The sequence below is a fragment of the Homo sapiens genome, chromosome 4 (assembly GCF_000001405.40).
Source record: "Homo sapiens chromosome 4, GRCh38.p14 Primary Assembly".
Classification (NCBI taxonomy): Eukaryota; Metazoa; Chordata; class Mammalia; order Primates; family Hominidae; genus Homo; species Homo sapiens.
The window spans coordinates 145,935,332-145,961,356 of record NC_000004.12 but is presented as its reverse complement, the minus strand read 5'-3'; the positions used below and the strand labels follow the sequence as shown (position 1 = coordinate 145,961,356).

Sequence of the window (26,025 nt, the reverse complement as noted above, 5' to 3'; positions counted from 1 at the left end):
GACAGGGAAGGGAAAGACAGAAGAAAATAAGATAAGCATCTTCCATCATGACTTCTTCTTCCAGACTCTTCAACCCTGCCCAGCCCCACAGGAATACCTATGCAGTAGCCCGACTCACTCATCCCACAAACAACCCCAAACTCTTCCTCTGCCACCCACCACCACACTCGTGTTAGCAAAAGAAAGTTATTCCTCAGGAGTTTGAGACCAGCCTGGCCAACATGGTGAAATCCTGTCTCTACTAAAAATAAAAAATTAGCCTGTTGTGGTGGCACTCGCCTGTAGTCCCAGCTACTGAGGAGGCTGAGGCAGGAGAATCGCATGAACCCAGGAGGTGGAGATTGCAGTGAGCTGAGATCGTGCCACTGCACTCCAGCCTGGGAGACAGAGTGAGACTCCATCTCAAAAAAAAAAAAAAAAAAAAAAAAAAAAAGTATTCCAAACCTTCTTCAGAGATCTTCAGCTCCCAGTGTCACTCTCGCCATCTAAGTTTAACCACTTTCACATCCCTGAGCAGTCCAAAATGGGTAAACTTAAACAGGCCCCCATTTACATTCCTCAACCCACTGTATTTTCATCTCTCCACTGAACATTTCTTTCCTCCCTTTTATCTCAGGAGAGATGGCATCCTCTCACATGTTTAAGCCTAACCCCTGTACCTTTGTCATGGAGAGTTTCTCTATGGCTCTATCCCTTCAACCAGCTCCTTTCTCTCTAAGCAGTCAAATTACGTAACAGAAGCAGTATGCTATGGTCTGAATGTTGGTATCTCCTCAAAATTTATATGTTGGAACCTAATACCCAACATGATAGTATTAAGAACTGGGGTCTTTGAGAAGTGATTATGTCATGAGGGCTCTGCCCTCATGAATAAGATTAGTGCACTTATAAAAGAGATGGGAGGGAACACTATGTCCCCTTTCCCTTTCACCTTGTGAGGACACAGCAAGAAGGTGCCATCTATGGAATAAAGCAAGCCCTCGCCAGTTACTAAATCTGTTGGCAACTTGATCTTGGAGTGCCCAGCCTCCAGAACAGTGACCAAAAAATAACTGTTGTTTATAAATTACTCATTCTTAAGGTATTTTGTTATAGCTACCTGCACAAACTAAGACACAATAATGAGGTAAAACATTTGTATGGTATTAATGCTCTCCCACTTTTAATCTTTGAGAGGTAAGGTGACTCACCAATGCTCACACAAGTAAGCAGTGGCAGAGTGAGGACTCAAACTCGAGTCTTCCAGTTCCAGGCCCAGGCCAACAGCTGGACCATCTCCTTGAGATCACTGTAGGAGAGCTTCCCAACTGCTGAGTGCACATAGAGATCCCTGCTGGGTTGGAGCACTGAGTTACTAAATCCCTGCAGACATCCTAAGAGTCTTGCAAACTTGAGACGTTGGGAGGCCCAGCATCTCTCTTGCCACAGCAGTCTTACCCATTGACACCAAGATACTTTACAAATACAACCATTTTCCACAAGTGCCAAGATTTGAATGAGGCTGGGAAGTGCCAGGGTGATCAATCATCTCAGTTTTCCCAGCAGTTTCTGGGTTTTAACACTAAAAGTTCTAAAGTTCAGCATCCTCAGTCCTGAACATACAGGAATGGTTGATCACCTTAGGAAAGTGCAGAGCTGCAGCTGTCTATACCTCTCCAAGGGTGAATCCCATACACTGCCTTTTATTACTGGGCTTCAAATTCACTCAATAAACATTTGTACAGTCCCTACTAAAGTCAAGGGTGCTATGCTGGGCATGGGGATGCAAAATGAACAATCCATGTCCCTGCTCTCAAGGTGCTTGAATTCCAGTGGGGAAGATGGTGCATATGTCCAAATGTGCACAACACAAAGTGAAGTGTGATTTTAAACAAACAAACAAAATACCTCCCATCCACCCACCACCACCACCACCACCACCAACAACAACAAAAACAAAAACCCTGTGTATTATAACAGTCAAAGGAAGAGAGACTTTCAGGAAGGAGAGGCTAAGGAAAATCTGGAAGGGCAAGGACTAAGATGAGTCCAATGGATTTGAAGCCTAGAAGTGAGGAGAGAGCAATTCAAGTAGAATATCAAGGGCAGAAATTAGCAGGGAGTGAAACCACAGCCAGAGCTACCCTCAAACCCTTAAGCCAGAGGATTCCACTTTTGATCACAAATGAAAAACTGGTATCAGACTAGCCCTCCCACCATAAACAACTAGAAAACTGGACAAAGTATGTGAATCATCATTAGACACTGCACAAGTGGCAACTGTCAGCACTGAAAGAATTTAAACAAGAAAGGTTAGCCCAGTGATAGACCCAGTGTTCTGCCTGGAGGCATTTACCGAACCTTGGATTGGGGAAAGAAACACCAGCAAAGCATAGTGATCACACTGAGCAGAAGAGACAAAGATCAGAGATGAGGGAGGCAGCCTCCTTACCTCACTGTCTTTACTCTGCTTTTTCTTCAAAACATGAATTCCCACCTGACACTATACATTTTATTTGTTGTTGTTATTTTCTGTCTCTGACTCTCTCCTCAGGATGTAATCTTCATGAGGGCTGGGCAGAGGTACTCTTTATGTTATTCATTGCTGTTTCCTTAAATGGTGTATGTAATCAATGCTCAATACATGCTTTTGAGTGATTGAAACCAAAAGGGAGAGGGTAATGAGGAAATAAAGGCAGGAAACAGACATTCTCAAGAAATATACAGGTGAGGTCAGGAGTTCAAGACCAGGCTGGCTAACATGGTGAAACCCCGTCACTACTAAAAAAAAAAAAAATACAAAAAGTAACCACGCATTGTAGTGAGCACCTGTAATCCAGCTACTTGGGAGGCTGAGGCAGGAGGATCACTTGAACCTGGGAGGCGGGGGTTGCAGTGAGCTGAGATCATACCATTGTACTCCAGCCTGAGCGACAGAGCAAGACTCCATCTCAAAAAAAGAGAGAAATGTATAGGTGAAGGGAAAGGAGAGATAAGTCAGAACCACAGTAATATCATAGAGTTTAAGGAAGGGCATTTTGTGTAGAGAGGGGGTATATGAAGCATGAACATGTTTGAGGGGTCCAGGTTTCATAGGGTAGCAGGTTGATGAGCTGTAGCCTCTAAAGTTCTCTCTGGGCTGGTCCAAAGGTTGAGAGTTATCTCAATTGATTGTTCACAGTCAGTTATGGATGAAACTCCTTGTTTTACTCTTTTCCCCCTTCTTACTGCTGTGCTTGACTAGTCAAAAAAATAAATTAAAAAATAAAGATCCCTCTAAAGACTGGAGGCTTGGATGGTCAGTAGGGATGAAATTACCGGACAGCAGTTGGGCACAGTGGCTCATCCTTGTTATCCCAACACGTTGGAAAGGTGAGATGGGAGGATTGCTTCAGGCCAGGAATTTGAGACCAGTCTGGGCAAGATAATGAGACCCTGTCTCTACCAAAAAAAAAGAAGAAAAGAAAGAAAGAAGAAGGAAGGAAGGAAGGAAGGAAGGAAGGAAGGAAGGAAGGGAGGGAGGGAGGAAGACAGGGAGAGAAAGAGAGCCAGAGGGAGAGAAAGAGAGACAGAAAGAAAGAGAGAGAGAGAGAGAAAGAAAGAGAGAAAGAGAGAGAGAAAGAAAGAAAGAGAGAAAGAGAAAGAAAGAGAAAGAGAGGGGAAGGAAGGAAGGAAAGAAGGAAGGAAGGAAGAAGAGGGCTGGAAAATCATAATGTTGATTAGAAAGAAATTTCACAATTTAAGATTGAGTTCATTATCTCTTTATAACAAATCACCTCACACTAAGTGGCTTAAAACTGTAAAATTTATTATTTCTGTCACTTCTGCATTTGGGTTGGGAAATGTCCAAGATGTTTCTTCATTCACATGTCTGAATCCTCAGCTGATATGGCTGGAACAGCTGGGGGCTGGCCAGGCATCTGTGTCTCTACGTAGCCTCTTACATGGCTAGCTTGAGCTTCCTCACAGCATGGAGGCCCAGGGTAATCAGGTAACACAAATGGCCTCTGAATTCCCAAAAGAAGGAAGCAGAAGCTGCCAATTCTGTTAAGGCCTGGGCTCAGAAGTCCCAGAAGTCACTTCCACCACACTCAGTCACAAGGCCAGCCTAGATTTCAGAGGAAGGGAAATAAATTACAGTTCTTGATGTGTAAGGCAGCCAGCATGAGTGTTCCAAGAATGAAACATTTTTAGGAGCCATGTTTGGTGCTAGTTACCATGAAGGCTTAGAAAGAAGCATTACAAAATGACAACAAAGACCTGGCAGGGTGGCTCATGCCTGTAATCCCAGCACTTTGGGAGGCCAAGGCAGGTGGATTGCTTGAGCCCAGGAGTTGAAGACCAGACTGAGCAACATGGCAAAACCCTATCTCTAAAAAAAAAAAATGCAAAAATTAGCTGGGTGTGGTGGTGAATGCCTGTAATTCTAGTTTCTCAGGAGGCTGAGGTGGGAGGATCGCTTGAGCCTGGGAGGTCGAGGCTGCAGTGAGCCATGATTGCACCACTGCACTCCAGCCTGTGTGACAGAGTGAGACCCTGTCAAAAAAAAAAAAAAAAAAAAAGGTTGAGGCCACACCAGTGGCCCAGTAAAATAGAGTGGAGATTATTGTCCCTAGAGCCTAAAACATCAAGAAACTGAAGGGTTGTAGTGTAATTGATGTGAATACCTGAATACCAATGGATGTTAGTGTATGAGACACAGACACTGAAGTCACTGAGGAAGATGGACGTGTGCTCGGCAAGATATGGAGTGAGGGTGGAAGAGATGGAGAGAGGCTGCCATGAGTGGATGCTGGACTTCAGAAGAGAAGTAGTAGAAGGATAGCCTGGAATTAGCAGAGTTCAGGGAGGCAACCCCCTCACCTCAGCCCATGAGCAAGAAGAGTGACCTCTGCTGGACAAGGTTGGTAAGGGACTCTCATGACAGAAATCCAGGTTTTAGTCAAATTGATAAAATAAGAGACCAAATTGAAAATGTAAAAAAGATAGATTCACCATGGGAAAGGGCAGGTGATAGAAAGATGCAGCTGGGTAAAAGATGGTACTGAAATCTTCCAGACAAACGTGGGAATAGAGATTTGCTAGGAGAGCAAATTTAGGGCCGTGTGAGGGGAACATAGAATGGAGGAAGATGAATATTAGCAAGTAGGATTGAATGTCTCTCATTCTTGCATTTATTCATTCATGAGGGGAGGAATAAGTAGATGTTTGTTTAATTATCCAGGTTGGTGTCAAGGTTTTCATCTAATTCGTTGCTTCTGAGTGTGGAATCATCACTTCATTTGCTTAGCTTCCTTTAGGTTGATCTTGAGAGCGGGCACTAAAGTTTGGGGAACGGGGAGGAAAGTGAAAGACAAGGAAAGTTTATATCAGAGAAGACTCACAGAGCTTAATAAAAAAAAAGTTCAAGTAATGATATCAGACTATAAATCCATATGTAAAATTTGAAACACCATCTCCTTGCCCCCAAGAAGGAGGAAATCACTATTTAGTACATAAATCTGGCCAATTTATGTAAAACTGCATGCTCTCTCTCTCTCTCTTTCTCGTTCTCGGAAAGAAGTCATAAGAGGTAAGACATTATGTGACATTTTTATTGACCAAAAGAAAACCAAACTAATGTAGCGTCATGTCAAAAGGTAATTTTTTTGCTGTTACACACCTCAAGCCAAAAGGATTGCAAAGTATTTCACATACACACTGCTCTCATACTCTGCAAGCTAGGTAGCAGAAAGGACAGCTGCCAACATGGCACCCCCCATGCTCTAAGAGGGGCACAGTTACTAAATTTTAATTTTTGCTGCCTTTACAATATTTTAAGTTTGAAATGGAAAGTACACAGATTCTTTCATTAGGGAAAAAGGGGATGGTGATGAAATAGGGTGGTTGTTAATCTGAATTAAATATTTTCTTGTTTTCTTTTTTCTCTGAAGAGGCAAAATACTCCAATTATGGCTTAACGGAAGTTGTTACTCAATGGGAACAATCCATTCACAGTGGTGAAGAAAACAACATAGGTACCTTCGTCAGTTTGATCTGGTCTAAATGGCATTCTTCCCTAGAGCAGGCAGAGAGGTGAGCAAGATTCGATGGACTTTCAGAACACGTCATTGACAGGAACTTTCTCTCTCCTCTGATCCCAACACCATAGGCCCGGAGGAAGGCAATTTTGCTCTTCTGAGTGGGCCGTGGTCACCAGGGAGGCTTGAGAGCATTCGGTCTCCTCTTTATCTCTAAATAAAATAAGACATCTGGCAAGCTCTCTTGCCTAACTAACACCTTAAGCCCAGACAGAAAGTCATCTGGCATCTACCCAACTTCTCTGAGTCACTGAAATGACTTGCTTAAGATAACCTGGTCAGAAGCAGCTGCAGTAAAACGACTTACTCCTCCTATACAGCAACATCCCCTGGGCACAGATTCCCTCCTTTCATGAACGAAGGTGATTCACTCCATACTCACACCCATTGCTCAGGCCAAAGTTGGGTTAAAAACAAAATTAATATCCAGCATCTTCTCTTAAAAAAAATGTTTCGATAAAATGAACTTCTCTGTCTTGCTTGCCTAACAGAACATGAGAATTGTGAGGAAAAGAGTCTCTAATTTTCCTCCACATTGCTAACAATCTTTTTGCATTGTCCCTAGACAATCTAATACTTAGCATACTTCTCTGCAACCTCTTAGTTCATGTCCAGGCCTTTTATGCCAAACCAATCCATTACACTTTCTTTCTAGAGCCAAGAGGAGTGGACATTTGTTTTTTTGGTCACTCAGTGTACATACACCCTACTTCCTGTAACTGCAGTCAGGGGAGCACCTGTCACTCATTCTTGGTCCCTGTGGCTCAAAGGCATCACTCCATCCAGGCCTAGAATGGTCAGTGCATGATCACACTTTCCTGGGTACTGCAACTGGGTCCAAGGTAGGTAAACGGCCAAGTCAGAGCCCATAAGGAGCAGTGAGTTCGAGCAGATACTTCTAGGAAAGAGACTTTCTTTCTTCCTGTGCTGAATTTGAGAGGGCAAAGAGGTTAGAGCTGTGCCTTCATTTGCTACAATATAGAGTCTGTGATGAAAGCCACCCCAGCAGGAGGAGTTTCTGAGAAAGAGAGAGTAACCAGGTCCTGAATATGCTGTTAGAGCTCTGAATACAGGAAGGACTGAAGCAAGCCAATTCCTGGGCTTTTCAAAGAGCCATTAATCCTCTTTTTATCTTAAGGCAGGATTTTGCAACCAGAACGGTCATACCTGGCACTCCAAGTATCATCCCAGAACTCTGTTTTCTAGATGCTGGCTATATTTACATGCTCTCTCCTTTGCATGTTAAAATGATCCTCCTCTTAGAGTCTCTAACAAATGTCCCCTGGTTGAAGCCATCCTCGTTCATTCTGTTCAATCCAATGGTGAAGCATAAGTTCTTCACATGTTGACAGCATCTTCTGTATCTTTCTCTTCTTCCCATTCATCCTTTTTCAATCCAGCAGTGATTTACAGAGTGCTCAGTACATGCTCTTAGAAGGCATGAGGGATGGGCAGCCTCAGCCTGAGCCTCAGCCCCAGCAAATACACATAATTGCAGAACAGGTGGTGTTCACCAGGACAGGAGAATGCAAAAAGTGATGCAGAGCACAGAGCAGGGGTCCTGGTTGGAAGGACTGGGGCTCCTGGCATGTCTCCAGCCCTCCAAAGATCTTCCGTAAGGTTGGACGTTTGAGCAAGAGAGCATTTTCCATCTTCCCTCATGCTCACTTTTCATTCTCCTTATATATTGAGAGATGACTACTTTGGAATACAGAAGAAGTATCCCAGGCAGAAATTCATTCCACTTGGAACATACATTTATGAGTATATCTACCATATGCCTGGTACTTTCTGGGACCTGAGAACAGAGTACCTTAGTGTCACAGAACTTATGCTCTAGTGGGACAGACAGGCCACAAACAAGTAAAACATAAATATCTAATTGATATCAGATGCTTAAAAGAAAACTAGAGCATGGTAGATGGATTAGAGCATGGTAGAGGGATGGAGACGCTTGGCTAGAGTTGACGTGTGGGCCTGTCTCAGGTAAGGTGATGAGAGAAAGCCTCTCTGAAAAGAATGTCATTTTTGCAGAAACACAAATTAACTGAGGCTGTATGTCACATGGATAGCTAGGGAAGGAACATTTCAGGCAGAGAGAAGCGCAACTGCAAAAGTCCTGAAAGATCCAACTTCTCCATCGGGCGCTGTAGACACAGGGCCTATAATACTTTTAGGGGCACACAGAAATGCTTTAATTCTTTCCACATCAGAAGAAAAAATGAACTTTCAGGTCCAAAAAATGTTTTAGTACATAATATGTGTATGTTCATCTTTATACCCATGCAGTGGTAGAATATAATTTTGATTTTTTTTTCTTTTATACTGGAGGAATAGGCCCAAGAAAGTCACAATGCAGCTCTGGGCTTGTTAGGAGAAGAGCAAGGCTATGTGACCAGAGGAGTCAGGGTGGAGGGATGGTGGCAGGAAGTGAGCTCAGATGTGCAGGCAGGGATACAGGCAGGTGGAACATCAGGTCTGGAAAGCTAGATTTGGGAGGTAGGCAGCTAAAGGGGGAGAAGAGGGGCAAAGAAAAAACCTGAGTACGCAGAATTTTTGATGTTGCTAGAGTCCTCAATTGGAACATTGAATATTCCTGACCACTTTAAGCAAGGGGCTTCTAATGACTTTTTAATTTTTCTGCAATTTAAATGAATAACTTCTTGTAGGTTACCAACTCCACCTGAATCTTGAGATCAGCTTCTGTTGCATCTAAGCTTGATGTTTTCCTTCTGACCTTCTACCCTGCTCCACTGTGGAATAGAATAGCGACTTAGAATGATGTTGAGGCATTTTGCGATATTCAAATGCCATAAAAATGTGGGTTGTTGTCAGGATGGTTAATAATAATAAGTAATAATGCTTCTGCCCATGGATGGACTTCGGCTTAGAGACAAATAACCTTTTTTGCTGGCTCGCCTACCTTGTGTCCATACCCAGCATAATCAGGAATCTCTCAGCCACAACCAATATTTCAGGATTTGTCAAGCTGTGTTGTGAACTCATAACGTTTATGACACTGCTTGTAGCTTCTCATTTACTAATACCAGCAATATTTAAAGCTCTTAATAGTAAAGGCCTGAGCCGCTTGCTGCATCATCCCTTGGCTTTCCTACATCCTGTTGAGACAATTGAGGTCATCTCTCATTTTCTATTGTGCATACTCATATTTAACATGACCTAGTGGAACTGGAGCCTGTGCCAGCAAGCTAGGAACTCCCAGCATCCCCCAGACCTCTCAAGGTCCTTTGCAAAGCTGGTTGTTTGAGCAAGGAAGCCTTTTTTCTGCCTCTCTTCTTAGAAGGAAATAAGTTGGGATGCCTTAAAGTCTGTGAGGTCAAAAGGGCTCACAGATTTTGTCAGAGCTTCTTTAGGAAGTCACTTTTTATTGCATCCTCCTGTATGGTCAAATACCAAATTTAAAATCATATAAAAGGGCTTCTGAATTTTAGGGTTAGGGAGGACTTTACAGGAAGGAGGACAATCAGTTTTAATGATACCTGGGGGTAAGAAGAGCTCTATTAAATGCCTACTGTCCCAAAATATAAACTTGTAAAACTACATTTACTTTTGTAAATGTTATCAGAGAAAGTGATGGAAAGATGTAAAGAAAAAAAATTGTTTTAGCGTCTCTACTTTTTGAGCCTCATCTGATTTCTGACAGATACAGCTTCCAGATGGAAAAGCCTGTGGATAAACCAAGAAGCCCCCTTTAGGACCCTTTTCAACTACAGGTTAATTTTCAGTGGAAACTCAAATTCACCCATGTTGCAGTTCCAGAATTCAGAAAGAAATGAAAGTGTTGCTGATAGTTCTGCTTTGAACATGTCTTATCATGGAATAACAGTCCTGGGCATCTCTTTTTGTTTGATTATTTTCTTCGACATTATCATTTGCAAATAAGTGAGCCATACAAATGATGCTAGAACCCCAATCCCTGAGGGTCCCTGAGAAAATGAGATGCAGCCTAAAATACCTGAGTTGTGAAATTGGAGAAAGCCCCCCAGCAGCCTGGTACTTAGAGTGAAGGAGGTGATCATCCTGCACTCCTTCACCTGTCCACTGCATCTGGTCCGGGTGCAGGGCACGGTGAAAGGGCAGCTTCAGAGGAGAACAGCAAGGATGCAGGAAAGGAGAATGGAGGAGTGCGAGGGCTGCTCTCTGCCAGTATTTGGAGGATAGTCATGTAAAAGAGCAAACCTATGCTCTGTGGCTTCAGAGGGCAAAATAAAGCACAGAGAGTAGAGAGTGAAAATGCTAGATTGCCTTATTTCATTTTTTTAACTATGGTAAAATAAACATAATAATTTTCTATTTAAAACATTTTAGGTGTACAGCTCAATGGCATTAAGTACATTCACACTGAGGTACACCAACTATCTCCAGAACTTTTTCATCTCCCCGAATGGAAGCTCCATACCCATTAAACAATAACTCTCAATTTACCCCCTTTCCCAGCCCCTGGCAACCACCATTCTACTTTCCATCTTTATGAATTTGACTACTCTAAGTATCTCATATGAGTAGAATCATACGGTATTTGTCCTTTCATGTCTGGCTTCTTTCACTTAGCATAATGTCTTCAAAGCTAACCCATGTCATAGCATGGGACAAGATTTCCCTCCTTTTAAGGCTGAATAATATTGCAGTTATGTATACACCACATTCTGTTTGCTCATGTATCTGTCAGTCAGTGGGCATTTGGTTTGTTTCCACCTTTTAGATACTGTGAATAATGCTGCTATGAACATAGATAAACAAATATGTTTGAATCCCTACTTTCAACTCTTTTGGATATATACTCTGAAGTAGAATTGCTGGATTACATGGCCATTCTATATGTAATTTTTTAAGAAGCCACGGTGGCTGTACCATTTTATATTCACAGCAGCAATGCACAAGGATTCCGACTTTTCCACATCTTCAGCAACACTTGTTATTTCATGCTCTTAATTTTTCAGATAGTGGCCATCTAACGGGTATAAAGGGAAATGCTAGATTTTGACTGACTCTTAAGAAACAATGATCTCACAATACGATCTGTCCAATTAGAGTCTGCCTCATTACTAAGTATGATCATATCAGAAGTTAGTCTAGATAAATGCAAGTCTAGTTCCAAAATTGAGAGTCTGTGAATATGTGACACAGTGGTATTTGAGGACCTTATTATTTTGTCTATTTTCTGGTCTGATGCATATAAGATAACGCATGAATTGCAATGGTTGGTTGGGAGTTACATGTGTATAACACATGATCATCACAAACTGATGATCAACAGATCTGACCTGCAGATACATTTTGTTGAGTATATATGTCCCAAAACTTGGAGATTTCTCGATAAAATTTAGATATCCCGCTTCTCCTATAAGATGGGAAAACACAGCAACAATGGGCTTACAATCCCTGGAATGAGAAACAGGAGGTTCCCTCCTCACTGTCCTGCTCAACAGTGTGTGACCTGCTGCCCCAGCCCGGCTGTGCATTTAAACAAGCTACCCAATTATAAACAAGTGGTAGATGTCGGTGACTTATGTACCTTAGGAGCTTTCCATAAGATACAAGCCCTTTGACCAAAGCATCTGAAACAGGAGAATATTACCACATTAATCATTTTTCCAATATTCATATATTTAATTACTTTGTTTTGTTAATTTTTAAACAAAAGTAACCAGTAAAGTCTAAGTCGTTACCCTTAGAGCCTTTTACAAAAATGGTCATCACTTGCCATTATGATATTTGTTCCATAAGAGCAAGGGCCGTGGATATTTTCTCACACAGTATACTCAAAGCCTAGGTTGTATGATAACATTAGCCATTACTCTGAGTACAGAAATATTATTGTTTGTTGTTTTTAATAAGTTTTGAGTATATTTTGTGGTGGACTGAAAGCAGTCATCCAAATCAGTAACAGGATGACACAGGTACTTAAAATAGTGTGTGATTAAAACCATTCATTCAAAGCACATCAAGACAACAAGACCTGTTTTGTGACTTTAGTTCTTTCAAGGGTAAGACTTGAACCCAAGATTGGGTTAAACATTATCAAAATTTGTGTATGTGGGCTTGTTTTGTTTCGTTTGGTATAAAAATCATTTTCTGAATTCAGAGAAAGTGCTAGTTTATAAAGTAAATTTAGTTTTTGATACTATTATTCCAGCTTTCTTTTTTCTTCTTTCTCTTTCCTTCTTTCTTTCAATTTTTAGTTTTCCTTGCCTATCTGGTTTTTTTGGACAGTGATAAAGAAGTGTTGAAAGGGAAGAAGTAGTCCTCATTCAGAACTATAGTTTTCCATAGGACTATAATGTAGAGTTGAAAGTAATCCAGTGTGGGTTATGATTTATGTCAGATGAATGCCAGATAATTCTGGGTCATTTATTTTGTTTCAGGAACAACAATAGGGGAAGGAGAAGGAGAAGGAGAACAGGTGGGTTTAAAAAATCAAATCACGAAAACCTCAATAAATGTTTTATAACTGAAATTTATAACTGAATGAATGCCACAATGCCTAAAATTCCTGCTGTGAAAGTTACTGCTGTGGGATAAAGCATGGGGAATCCAGAAAGCAGAGGTAATATATTCAGATTTTTCCTCTAGCAGCCAAAGCAAATGAAAATGTTTCCCCTGGGAATCTGGGGATAGAGCCTGAAGAAGGTTCTGGGCAAAATTTCTTTGAAACCTTGCATTTTGACTTAAAGTTCATGCAGAGTTTGGACCTCATGGCATATCCCATGCCGTCAGGAGCAGCAGCATATACCAGCTACAGTGCTTAGATTCAGTTAGACCCCACAGCAACCTCATGTAAGGGAAGTACAATATTGTCATTGTCCTCATCTTTAATGAGAAAAACCAGAGTACATGGTATCTCCATACATATCTTAATAAAAGTACATTTTAAATTATTTCAAAGTTAAATTGCTTAACTTTCAACAAACGTATCAGCAAAAGGAGCATTCCAGAAAGATGGCCATATTTATTCTATGACATCTTTTACTTTCTGGGTATTTCAAAGGTATCCCTGTTGGTAAAAGAGGATATGCTATTTGTATCACTGAAGACATTGGCATTGAGTAGCTAACTTACTTTTGTTGCGGTTCAAAAAAGTTTTAAATTATAGTAATAATATATGTTTCACTGTTAAAAACTTGGAAAATAGAAAAAAATGAACTCTCGTTATCCTGTTAGCTATCATTTTGGTAGAAAAAAAGCATGAGGAAGCCTCGGGAAATGGAAAGGAAAAAAAAAGAACAGTTATATTTTGAATAAAGAAAGATTATGGGACCATCTATCAGGAGAGGTTTAAGTGGGACAACACAGTGGTATTTCTGGTTGCTAAAAGGACCGGTACTGCTGAGAGAGCAAATGGCATCAAACATTCCAGAAGTGGAGACAGGAGAAAGGATCGAGGAAACATCAAGGAAGGGGTCTTGGAGATCAGTGTTGCCCACTCATCAGTTTTGCTTACGTCACCTTAAATTTGTTCAGAGCATGGACCTGAGATGGTCCTAGATCCTGTGGCACCAAGGCTTTCCTTTGGGAGACTGACTCTACCTGATCATTACTCCTTCTCTGCACCCCTTCCCTGCCCTGCCCCCTGCCATAATCATCTACTAATGATGTACTTCGAATTTGTCTGAAGCCTAAATTACCTCTCACATAGCCTCATTCTCTGTTCTCAGAATTCCTGACTAGCCTGGAGAATTTCTGTACTTTAAAAAAAAATCATCCCAATTTTATGGGAAATAACAAAGAAGAGTTAAGTAAAATAAGCCACGGAGTTCAGTAAACTCCACAGGGTCAGGGGTAATATCTCTATTTGCTCACTGTGGTATTCCCAGTGGTTTTGGCCAGTGCCTGGCCCATAGTAGGTGTTCATTAGATATTTAGTGAACAAATGAAAGTACATTGTATCAGTCTGGGTTCAGGCAGAGAACAGAACTCATCCCTCATGATTCAAATGAAGAGGCTTTAATGAAGAACTCCTTACATAGTGGTGGGAACTCCTTACATAGTGGTGGGGTAAGGGAACTAATGAGGGCTGAGAGGCATCCAGGAATCACCATCTGTGGAAGGCAGTTACCAGCGCTAGGGCTGAACGGATGAGGAGAGGAAACAGTGTATTCCAAGTCCAGTGAAGTCTGCACTGTGCTAGAGGCTGTAATCATGGAAGGACAGAATTACAGCCAGAGACAAAGCATCAAAGCAGAGAGGGAGAAGAGAAGAAATATTCCCACCCTTCTGCCATCCCACTCTTCTCTCTTACAATTACCTCCTGTTGCCTGAATCCAGCTGTATATCAAGCCAGCCAGGGAGCTTGGGTGCTGCAGTCACTAGCGGTCAGTTCCTGGGGCAAAGATAACAGGGTAGAGAAGGGACAACAAGCAAAGGAGGCAAATGTGGCGAAACCAGCACAATGCTACTTCACTAGCACACGGGAAATTCAATGTCCATTTCTGCATGTTTAGGCTCTGGTTACTCTTAGAGATTACTTTGTTCTCTTTAATAATGTAACAATTGATATATACATGGGAGCTTATACTTGGTTTTCAGGAAACTGGAACCAACATTTCCTGGGGAGAGCACTGGGGCATCTGGGTCTACTCCTTCCCTATTAGACAAAAAACAGTCTCTTGGCATTTAGGACATGATGCATGGCCCATCTGTTCCTCAGGCTTCTGCCTGATTGATGTAGGGAGAGCGCTGTGGCTGTAATTAGGCTGTCTATAGCCCTCAAGTGCAAGTGGTCTAATTATGTGGCCTTGAGCAATTTCTTGCCTGGGTTATGCCTCAGTTTCCCCAGCCTTAAAGTGAAGAAAATATGGTTCACAGAGCTGATGTGAAGATGAATTAAATAGTCCTTGCTGATATAGTATGTTCCTTTTTTTTTCCTAGATAGAACTGTGTTGACACTCAAACACAAATACTGCTGAACACTTACATTATGCAAAAGTCACAACAAAGCTTCTCACGGACACTGCACTAAGAAGCGAACTCTCCAAAAAGCTGGGATATGTGAAAAATCAGTCAGCAACATAACCTTCCTCTAAAACAACAAGCAATCTGGCACAAATGAAGTGTGAATCTCCTGGGGTGCAGAGGCATGACCTTTGGAAATTAAGGAATTCCTGCAAAGCCTGTTGTCTGTTTTTCGGGACATCATTAATAGGAATTATATGGAGCCATTTCTGTGTATTCTGTGGGCCCAAGATGTGTGCCAAAGGAGCCTAGGTGTATGAGGCTTTTACACAATCATACTTATACTTGCATGGTGCAGCTTCTCTATGCTAGCCTAACTGCACATTAACTTGTTAATCTGTTCCCCAGACTCTGTTTACTGAAAGGATACTTGCTAGACCAGTTGTGCTTCAGACTCCAGGACAAGGATGTGAACTTTAGTTTATCCATTCTGTTCCTTCCTGTTATTTTGGGCAATTTGTAGGAATCATTTTTTTGTCTCAAACACTTCACAAAATTCCATTTCTCTCATTGTTCCCTGAGTGCAGTGTAAAAGAGGATGAGGTTTCAGAAGTTGCCTCTGTAAAAGCACCCATCCTTCTAGTGTGAAAAATGGCCCATGGACCTGCCATCAGGGAGCTGGGCTGAGTTGAGTGACTCATGGTTTTTGCTTTAAGAGTAAGAGAGTTGCAATGATACATTGACACTGGATACCTATGAACTCCACTGAAAGACTGCCTAAGACAATTGGCCAAGACTAAGTGTACCATTGCCCAACACTGAAACGGGATCTGAGCTTAGGCTACCTTCTTTCATGAAGGTATGAACACTTTATTTTGAAATGTCCACAAGGTTTCTTCTCAGAGAATGTAATACCTTTTTTAGGGCTTCCAGTTTTTTATCATAGTATCTATATTCTCAAGATAGAGTTGATCTATATGGTTTGGGGTTTCTTTTTGGTAAATTTTAAAGTTTCTTTCTAATCCCAATAGCTATCCTTCATTCACATTTAAAATGAACCTTCCAGGAGCTAGCAAACAATATCAAACCTACACTAAATTGTCTACACACAATATTTGAAAGCACTCGATTCCTTAAGTTTGTATATTGTGATTTCAAATGCTTCTACATTCTGGCTTACAAAATTGGTTTGCTTAAATACTTTAGGATGCATAAATATGCCTTTACAATGTCCTACATTTAAGCTCTAATTTTCTGGAATAGCCAAGAGCTCACTAGTCAGAGCTCAGCAAGCAGCATTGCCCAATGTTTTAGTTACTCTGACTCCTCATCTGTGGAATACCAGGGCAAAACAAAGTGATCTGCAAGGCACTTTCTGGCCATAAAGTTCTGTGGCTCTAATTCGAAGCTCTAATTTTGCCTCTTTACTAAAAATATTAAAGTAGGAAATGAAATGATGTCAAAGAGGGAGTGTATAATAGTTAACTCCCATGGCATTGCCATTTGTTGCTTTATACGAAAGGACTTTAAGTCCAATAAAAAGACATAGCCAAACTCTAGCACCAAAAGGACACAGATGGAGCTCAAGGTAACTTGGTCCTACCTTCCATGAGATAACCAACTACATAAAAATTGGCATAAAAATGGGCAGTGGTAGAAGTGGAATTCCAAAAATGGGGGTAGACAGAGGTGACCACAAATGGCAGAGACAGTAATCATGGAGGAGAAGATATAAGAGAAACGCACAGGAAATTTTTTTATTGGTTTCTGCTCCCATTGTACTTGCTGATCACCCAAAATCATGAGTCTGGGCATGTAGTAATTTTGTATTTTGTTATTCTTATAACCATATTGTAGTCTAAGGAAGATGTTGCTTGACATGTACATTGGGTAAACAACTTTGTCAAGATGCCATGGGTATGTGAACCATAGTGGGGGAAGAGGCTGGGGGAAGAACGTACAAAGGGACAGAAAGATGTTGCAGAGAAGCTGAATCAGAGCTGCCAGGAAGAGGGGCCGTCAAGGATGCCACATGCAAGAGGGGACTCACAAGGAGGCAGCAGTATGATTTGAGGCAGTTCAGAGGATGACTGGGCCAAGCAGCAAAGAAGTACATTGCACTATCAGACAAATCAGTTCAAAAATACATGAAAGTGGGGAGTAGCTGCTTAGGGGAGTTCCCATCCATGCAGATTTAAGAAAAAGGCCCAAGGAAGAGAAATGGACAGAGATGCTAAGAATCATGGCATGTAAGGGTTCGGAGACAAGAGTTTTATTTCATATTGTGGTTTAAGTTAGGAGTAAGCAAGGAAGAACTGAGTGGTTTTGAGCATCAGTGCTGACAGGATGAACCAGGTGAGGGAAACACACCACAGAAATCTGGAATTTGACCAATCTAAATATGACTTTGTACTCTGAAACATTCACATCAGGTGTTGGAGGTGAAGAACTATTGGGACGATATTTAGGGAAGGGGCCCAAGCCCATGGGTTAGAAGAAAGATATCCCAAATGCCCAGAAATGTTTCCTTTGCTGATTCCATCCATTCCCATGAAAGTACATATTACAGTAAAAGCCTACCCCTCTGTAAAGGATGGCAGGTCATCGTCACCAGATAGTGATTTATAACATGTCAAGTCCAGGCCAGGTGAGACGCCAGATCCATGTCTCTGTTTTGGGACAGGCATTCATTATTTAAAATGTCAGACTTGGAGCACATTTGGGGTAAAGAGTATCTCTTCTTAACTCTTGAGGCAGATGGTTCATACCCTGGGAAAGAGAGAGGGACCCTCGCTGGTTTTACTTTCCTAGAGGGTCTGAGGCTAGGAGAGACTTGGGCCTCTGTTCAGAGTAACTGGCCTCTCCACGTGGCTGGATAACCTGTTTCAACTAGAGTGGGTGAGCACCCTCTTCTACTTCTTGTATCCCATAAGGGATCTCATCAGAGGAGCTAATCTTGGGGTACACAAACTAACTCTCAGCTCCAGGGGCTTAGTGGGCTTCATTTTATGAAGAGGGTAAGCATGTTTACAATTGGATTCCAAGACCTCTGGTAAAGCCTCCATACCTGTCATTTTTCTCTTTAACTGCAACTTAATTTCTATGGCAGTGGTTCTCAAACTTTTTGGAATCAGAATTCCTTTATACTCTTACAAGTTTTTGAGGAGCCCAAGGACCTTTGTTTATATTGGTTATGTCTATTGATTGTTACTCATTAAAACTGTAGAATTTTTTAAAATTTTTATTAATTTATACATAATCAGAAACAATGCAAGTTAATACATTTTCATAAAAAGTAACTATTTTTTTCAAAACAAAACATTTCATAAGGAGATGGGCATGGTTTTACGTTTCTGAAAATCTTTGTAATATCTGGCTTAATAGGACACAGCTGGGTTCTCATATCTGCTTCTGCATTCAATCAATTGTGATATGTTGCTTTGGTTAAAGATGTACATGAAAGAAATCCAGTTTGATAAAGATACGTAGCTGGAAGAGGGTGAAGTACATTAATACCCTTTTTAGGTAATTGTGGATATTCTTCTTTGATACTACACCAGAACTTGATGAGTGGTAGTTTCTTAAAGATTACTTACAGTATAGAATCTGAAACCATATCAATGAATTTTTCATATTTTTTCACATTAAAACCCACTGATCTATCTTGTGCTTTGAATGGATCTTGTATTACAGCATGATTTGGTAACAGCAAGCATTGGTCATTTGGAAAATATTGGTTCACTGAGCTTTGCGGCTCTTCCAAAATCTTGAGACAATATCAAAAAGTTACATTTATTAATATCACCACCCATTTCATCAAAAAGGCCTATAAGTATCAGGAAGCTGTTACATTAATGGTGACGGATACAAGTTATCTAAGATTCTAATTTGTACTTGTAAATGCAAATATTGTCACTGCCAAAAAATAGTATGCATTGTTTTCTTTGAAATTTCAGGCTAACCTCATTTTTTTTTTTGAGAAATACCCCTCTCAGTTTGTCAGTCAGTCATCCTTTCAAGTAAAAATAGCATTCCATTAAAAAGTGGCTATTTCAAACAATCTCACAAGTGATTTTCCTTCAGACAACCTATGTATTTCAGTATGCAGCAGAAGTGCTTTATATGTATCTACCTTTTTGTCAACAAAGAATATTTAAAAGTCTTGTACTTAAGGATTGAGATGTAATACAATTAATAATTTTTACTGCTCTATCAAGGACATTCTTAGATGAACCTCCCTTTTTCCTTCCTCTAAGTGCATGATGGTGAAGAATAGGATCACTATTATACTTTTTGGTGCTCTGCCCTGATTAGTGCTAAGATGTGGCATTTTTACCCACCATTGCTTTTGCATCATCAGTGCAAATGTCAACACAGATAAAAAGACAAATAACATCTTACTGTTAGTATGCAAGTAGTTCTGACCTCATGGACTCTGGATAGTATGAAAGTAGTTTCGGACCTGCAGACCACACACTATTCTAGGGTAAGTGCTCCCTTTGTCTACTCATCGTTAGCAATATTTGAGCTTGAATAGATTTCACTTCTGTGAGAGTGTTTATGAAACTTCTTCTTAGAGTGCACAGTTTTGAGAAAATCTATTTTAATTTCACATTTGAGAGGTAATGGAGATGGGGGTGGAGAGAGTACTATAATTATTAAGATAAAATATGCTTTTTAAAGCTTAGTCCATGGGTGGGGTGAATCAAATAGAATATTCCAATCTGATGAGTATGGCCAACAATAATCAAAGCTCATGGTTCATGGGTATATATATCCCAAAAGCATACATTTCCAAAATTATTTATGCATTTGATTTTGAAATCCATTATCGTAACCCCCAAGTATTTATTTTCCTAATGTTTTTGTTAGTCTGACATTAAAATTAGTTTGTGTTCCCTGAGCATACAGCGATTGAGGGTGAGATGCAAATGACCTTGAAGAGTGTTTTATAGCATAAAGGTACCAACCTGAGATTGAAACGGAAATTGTTCTGTCCTTATTTCCATTTTCTATTGTTGTGTACTATTTCAAATAATTTTTGGAAAGAGGTGGAGGTATGAATAAATTCAATTTAAAAATGCTTTTGGCTGTTGATAGAACACCTATATAATTAAAAGTTGACAGCATTTTCCTGCATGCCTTTAAAAGGTCGCAGGAAATGTACTCTGCTTTGAGGAAAGGCCTAAAGTGTGTTTTCAATTATAGCAAACTAAACATTAGGAAGAGTCCTAGCAATTCAGAAAAGGTAGTGGTGTGTCTATGCAGAGTCATAATCCTGAACACCCTAGCCAAAGGTTCTGAGAGAGCAGTGGTGAAGTGTGGTGACCATTTTGTTCAGCTGTAAAGATTCTACACACTCAGAGCATTGGTCTACTTGGAAAGGATGGGCTCTAATTTATCATTAATATATTAATTTCAAGTCCAATGTCACCGACAATAGTCAAAATTATGGCAAATTGAATTTGACCTGAGTGGAAAGATAGTTATATTTCAAATTATAATGCAGGGCAACCTAACTACCAGTTTTTTAAAACCAACATTTGAGGAAGAACTGGTTTAAGGATGATGCTCCTTTTTTTTTTTTTTTTTTTTTTTTGAGATGGAGTCTCGCTCTGTCGCCAGGCTGGAGTGCAGTGGCCCGATCTCGGCTCACTGCAACCTCCGCCTCCCAGGTTCAAGCGATTCTCCTGCCTCAGTCTCCCAAGTAGCTGGGACTACAGGAGTGTGCCACTACATCCAGCTAATTTTTGTATTTTTAGTAGAGACGGGATTTCACCATGTTGGCCAGGATGGTCTCGATCTCTTGACCTCGTGATCTGCCCACTTCCGCCTCCCAAAGTGCTGGGATTACAGGGTGCTCCATTTTAAACTTGACTGCTCTCTGTTTTGGTTTTAGATTGAATTCATGCAGGTGTTTCAAACCTCGCTTTCAATAGCATTACTTGTTACTGGGAAGCTAGATCTTTTGGGGGGAGTTGGCAGGGAGGGGTTGAACGTGAGATTTCTCTATCAGTGAAAGACATCTTTTGGGAGATACAGCACTCTTTAAGCTTCACTTATAAAAGTGTGCAATATAAAGCCTTATTATTATTTTTAATAAGGCAAGTCAGAATTTAACCCCCATGGCTCTCTTTAACACCACTGAAGTTGTAAGAATTAACTCAACCTCAAAGAGGCATGAGTTATCCATGTAGGCTTATAGAGTGTCATTTTAATGTTCTATGTCTTTACTGTGCCTCCACTTTCTTTGATGAAAAGGTCTATTTAAAAATTGGTAGGAAAATATTTAACATAATAAGATGATGAGTCAGAGTTTTAAAAAAGCTAAAAAGGGAAGATGTAGTTAAATAATGCACCTTTTTATTTTCTAGCTACATGACTCATGACATATAATGTATTCTGCTAAGTTCAAAGTTTCCTCTTACAAAGAGAGTTTTATGAAACAACTCTTCTTCAGACCATTTTTATTTCAATTATAGTAGCAGGTTTTGGAGTTTAAATCATTAACAACCTCTGAGTGAACTTTTATCCAAATGACTGCAAGTCACAAAGAGAACAGTCCTCTTTCACCAAGTACCTTTTGTGCTCTAGTGAGACCCGTCCTTTTCTATTTTTCTCCTTTATGTCTCTCTTTGAAGAAAGATGTGTGATTTGTAAGGTAATGAAAGTATGTATCAGTTAATGAAAACTGCTATATTGGGCTCATAATGCACACTGGAATTGCTTCAGGGTAAACTTCATATACCTGCAGTATATAGCAGGGGAAAAAGTGAATTTCCGAAGTAAAGATTGCTGTGTGCACTCTAGGAGTATCACGTAGCAGTTAAAGCAACCATCAGGGGTGACCTAATCTTATTTTCCTCTCTTTGTCAAGTAGCTGTAATGTTCATTTAGGAGCATTTTTCAGTTTTAACTCCAGTGGACACTCCAAAACTGGGCACTTATTCTGTCAACTGTCAACCAAGTTATTGATTTCACCATATGTTGTCTTCATTTTTTTTAAATTAGTTTTTTTGGAATGTTTTTGAAGAGTGTGTGGGAGACGATAACCTCCAGATTTAAGGTGATGGGGTAGGGACAAAAGCCTGCAGAATTTCATACAGAACAAAATGTAGCTTAATAAACAAAAGAAAGTGAAGAGAGAAATTTATTTCCTTTTTAAAAGTCAGTAAAATAATGAACTAATCGTTGTTTAAAGAGTGAGAAAAACTTTTTCCCCCTAGATTTGGTGACTAGCGGGATAAATTTGAAGAACTCCATCCCACCCCCGCACGCGCGCCCCCCATTCTTTCCAGACAGAGCGGTTGTAAATCCGAGGCTGAGTCCGCCCTGGGAGCCTTGGGGCACTTTCCTCTTTGCTCTGTGTGTGTGTGTGCGTGCGTGTGTGTGTGTGTAGCTCTCGCTCTTTCCCTCAGTCTGTGCCTCTTGTGTGTGTGTGTGTGTGACAGAGAGAGAGCGAGAGAGAGAGCGCGAGAGGAGAGAGAGCGAGAAAGAGAGAGAGAGAGAGCAAGAGAGCGAGCTGTGAGCTGTGCTGCCGCCGCCGCTGCCCTTTGATCCCGACATTAGTGTTAGGGGCTCGGAGACACAGAGCGCGGCCATAGACACCGCCGCACCGGCACTCATTTATTTATACCTCCCATCACACACGCGAGCATAGGACACACACACACTCACACCTATTAGATCCGTTTCCATTGAAGAATATTACGCTCGGGGACAAGCCAGGTGCACGACCAAAAATTTAAAAAAAAAAAAAAAAGGAAAAAAGAAAGGAAAGAAAAGAAGAAAACCCCTCTTCTGGCTCCAGGAAACAAGCTTCAACCCATTGCACACACCGGAGAAGGGGTTTCCCCCTGCCCGCCCGCCCGCCCCCCAACTACCTCCCCGCTCCTGCCAGTGTCTGCCTCTCTGCCCCCACGGGGGTTTATTTGATCTCACATTAACCAAGGAGGAGAATGTGAGAAAAGGGGGAAAATGCCCAGGAGGAAGCAGGAGCAGCCCAAGCGCCTTCCCTCACGTAAGTCATCCCTTCTCCACCTCCTCTCGTGCCATTTTCTCGCCCTCCCTCTCCTCTTTCCCCTCCGCAGCCTCCTCCGTTGTTTTCTGCATTAGTTTAGGGTTACAGAGGTGAAACTGACAAAGACACAGCCCGGGTTACTCCTCGTTTAGGTCTATGCTGAGGCAGCCATGTTGGTGATGATCAGCCCCGTGCCCTTTCTATTCTCTCTCTCTTTTTCTTTCTTTCTCTCACCCCCCCCCTTTTTTTCCTTGAGATCGGGCTTTTTTTTCCCTTTCCCTCCCCTTCCCCCTCCTCACTCTGGGTTGCTGGGGGGAGGGGGCAAGAGAAGGGAGGAGGGGAGTAGTGTGGATGCCGGGGGTTTTATCGGGGGTTTGGTGGGGGGAGGTGGGAGAGGTTGGAATCTTAAAAAAAAAAAAATTCCTTGTGGATTCCGGCGCCTGAGGGTGCGGGGGTCGGGGCGCGCGGAGGGCTGGGGGCCGTGACATGGCGTTTGGGGGTGTCGGGGAGAGGGCGCGCAGCAGCCGCCGGGTACAGGATCCAGGGAGAGGTCCGTCCCTGGCTAAAGGTTGCGCCGGGGTTGGTCGGCCCCCGAGCCGCCGGCGGCAGCGGCGGCGGCGGCTGGAGCAGGAGGAGGCGGAGGTGGAGGAGGCGGCGGCGGAGGAGGGGAGTCGGGGGCGGGCGAGGCGGGAGCGGCTGGGGAGGGTGTAGGGGCACCGCACACAAACACACGGGTACACACGCGCCGCCGGGCGGCTGCTCCCGCGGCGCCGAGGCGAGGGGGCGCGCCGGGGCGCGGGGCGGCCGGGCGGGGGGCGAGGCCGGGCAGCGGCGGGCGGATGTGGGGTGCGGGAGCTGCGCCGAGGCGAAGGCAGGAGGCAGGGCGGCTCGCGGCGCGCGAGGTCCCTGCAGAGCGGAGGAGAGGGAGGAGCAGGGCTCCTGGCCGCAATAAAATGCGGGGTCAGTCGGAGCAGACGGAGCCGGGCGAGACTCGGGCTCTCAGACCCCCTCCTTGGCGAGCCTGAGCAGAGTCCAGGACTAAAGTGCATCACAGCCCTCCCCGGCGGCAGCCACACACGCCAACTGGAGACACACACCCGCCGGCACGGCCCGGTCCCCTTCCCCTCCTCCACCCGCGCCCCCGGTCCCTCTCCGCCCTCCCTCCGGCTTTTCTTTGCGCGACTCTTAACTTTTCCCCCACTCCCTCTCCAGCTCCCCCCAACCCCCCAGTCTTTCTCCGCTTTGAGTGTTTCGAGATGCTGCTAAAGCTAAAAGTGAAGGAGAAAGAAGCAACTAAAAATATCCCCCGGGGCCGCCCGGCTCCTTGAATGCAGGGAAGAGGGGGCAGGGGAGAAGGCGTGGGGCGGGGTGACGGGGAGGAGGGGACGCGGGAGGCGCCGGAGGGAGGGGTCGGGGGAGACGGAGGGTCAATTTCTCTTCTCTCCCCCCACACTACTCCCCTCTCCCGGCGGTTTGGCGCTGCTCGGAGCCCGATCCTGCAAAACCCGGGCTGGGGGCGGGAGTGGAGCCGGAGCGCCCGCCCGCCCGGGTGTCAGGCCGACGTGGTCGGTCACCTGAAGTTCACGGAGGGTGGGGGAAGGGTTAAGGTTATGGTGTCTCGGGCTCGGGCTGTGTGTGAGCTTGTGCTTTTCCGCTGCAGACAGGCAGGGCGATCGATCTCCCCCTCGCGAAATAACCGCGGCGGTGCCTGCCCAGGGGACCGGGAGGGGGGCGCGGGCTGCTCGGGCCAGGCGCCCCCGCGCCTCCGTGTCACCCGGGCCGCAGCCGAAGTGGCGAGCAAGGGCACTTGCAAGCAGTCCGCTCCGCAAACATTCCTCTTTCTTTCCCCTTCCCGGTACGCAGGAGTCGACGCAAAGGGCTTGGGTTGTGCTTTTTTCCCCTTCCTTTAAAAAAAAAAAATGCCCCTGTGCAGTCCTTTCTTCGCCTGCCCGCTAGAGGTTCTGAGGATAATATCACATATGTAATATATATGCACATAAAATCACTCGCAGGCGGCTGCGTGTGTAGGGAAATTTTGTGCGAGGAAGGAGAAGGCGGTGGAGTCGGGGAGGGCGAGTTGGGAGGCTCCGCGCTGCGATTCACAGAAAACTCGCAGCAGTTGGTGGAAGAGTGTGCGTGCACATGGCCGGACTGCCCCGCTGCCGGGCTCTTGTCGGGGGCGTGTGGGGGGAGGGAGAGGAGGCAGGAATCCTGAGGGGGTCAGGGGAGGTCTGCCGTGCTTGGACAAAATGGGCTTCAGTGTTCTCTGCGAACTTGCCCTTAGATGGCAACTTTGGGAGCTGATGAGCTTGTGTGCGAAAACAGGGCGGTGAGGTTATTTGGTCATTTTCCCTTTCTTCTCTTCTCCCCCTGCTTTAAAAAAAAAAATGTTGGCGGGGTTAGAGGGAGGGTGGGAGAGGAGAAGGGATTTATCTGTTTCGTCTGTGACGGAGATGGAACGCCTTCCCTCCTCTTGTGTGTAGTGCAGTCGGGCAGCTGCAGCGTGCCCTGCTGATGACCTTGACCCTGACCTCCTGCGACTACCCTCTCCGTCTGAGAGGAAATTCAGGCTCCATTTTAGCTCGTGTGCTTGGTGGGCCTTTCCTGCGCGTCGGTGCCTGGTGATGAAGTTATATTTTCAGAGTGGGCTCTCCTACTTTGCTGTCTGATTGAATCCTGTTAGCCACTCACTTAAAAAAATATCACCTCCCTCTTTCAGTCACATAAAGTCACTTTTACTGAAGTAAGAAGCAATTACCTTTGGAAACACCGTAAAAGTCCCTGCAGTTTTGAAAGGGAGGCCTTAATTTTCTAAGCTTTTCCACTTACCTTTGCATTGAATGGATTTTTGTGGATATGTGTTGCCTGTGCTAAGTGTGTTTTGCACATGTTTTTAAAGCAGTTTGTGTTTGGACTTTGCAATTTCTGGGCAAATGGTGTATTTTGCAGTTCAATCACAGTCACCCAAGGCTTGCTAACTGCTGAGTGAGGCTTGAAACTTGCAAGTGGTGTGAAGTAGTAATTATTGACTTT

The 26,025-nt window shown here is 43.2% G+C and overlaps 1 protein-coding gene across 13 annotated transcripts in view, besides 6 other annotated features; it reads left to right on the top strand.

The window, feature by feature from the left end:
• Nucleotides 4,815–4,894: a silencer, noted in NCBI's record as "silent region_15738". NCBI's record gives its function as "represses an Ori minimal core promoter by ATAC-STARR-seq in GM12878 lymphoblastoid cells {active_cell/tissue: GM12878}" and the evidence as "EXISTENCE:reporter gene assay evidence [ECO:0000049][PMID:35858748]".
• Nucleotides 5,499–6,698: an enhancer, noted in NCBI's record as "P300/CBP strongly-dependent group 1 enhancer chr4:146875811-146877010 (GRCh37/hg19 assembly coordinates)". NCBI's record gives its function as "activates an origin of replication core promoter dependent on BRD2, BRD4, P300/CBP, MED14 and CDK7 cofactors, with strong dependence on P300/CBP, by STARR-seq in HCT116 cells {active_cell/tissue: HCT116}" and the evidence as "EXISTENCE:reporter gene assay evidence [ECO:0000049][PMID:35650434]".
• Nucleotides 22,534–26,025, top strand: part of ZNF827 (zinc finger protein 827) — a 181,197-nt gene continuing 177,705 nt past the window's right edge. For 12 of the 13 annotated variants that reach the window (XM_047449635.1, XM_017007768.3, XM_017007770.3 and 9 more), the window contains exon 1: nt 22,534–22,992. In XM_047449635.1, the coding sequence (XP_047305591.1) occupies nt 22,950–22,992 (43 nt within the window). In that variant the 5' untranslated portion in view covers nt 22,534–22,949. Of the gene's footprint in view, nt 22,993–25,139; nt 25,322–26,025 lie in introns of those variants that run through there. The other variant, XM_047449634.1, reaches the window with a different exon arrangement.
• Nucleotides 23,158–23,217: an enhancer, noted in NCBI's record as "active region_21972". NCBI's record gives its function as "activates an Ori minimal core promoter by ATAC-STARR-seq in GM12878 lymphoblastoid cells {active_cell/tissue: GM12878}" and the evidence as "EXISTENCE:reporter gene assay evidence [ECO:0000049][PMID:35858748]".
• Nucleotides 23,592–23,661: a silencer, noted in NCBI's record as "silent region_15737". NCBI's record gives its function as "represses an Ori minimal core promoter by ATAC-STARR-seq in GM12878 lymphoblastoid cells {active_cell/tissue: GM12878}" and the evidence as "EXISTENCE:reporter gene assay evidence [ECO:0000049][PMID:35858748]".
• Nucleotides 23,782–24,191: a silencer, noted in NCBI's record as "silent region_15736". NCBI's record gives its function as "represses an Ori minimal core promoter by ATAC-STARR-seq in GM12878 lymphoblastoid cells {active_cell/tissue: GM12878}" and the evidence as "EXISTENCE:reporter gene assay evidence [ECO:0000049][PMID:35858748]".
• Nucleotides 24,292–24,871: a silencer, noted in NCBI's record as "silent region_15735". NCBI's record gives its function as "represses an Ori minimal core promoter by ATAC-STARR-seq in GM12878 lymphoblastoid cells {active_cell/tissue: GM12878}" and the evidence as "EXISTENCE:reporter gene assay evidence [ECO:0000049][PMID:35858748]".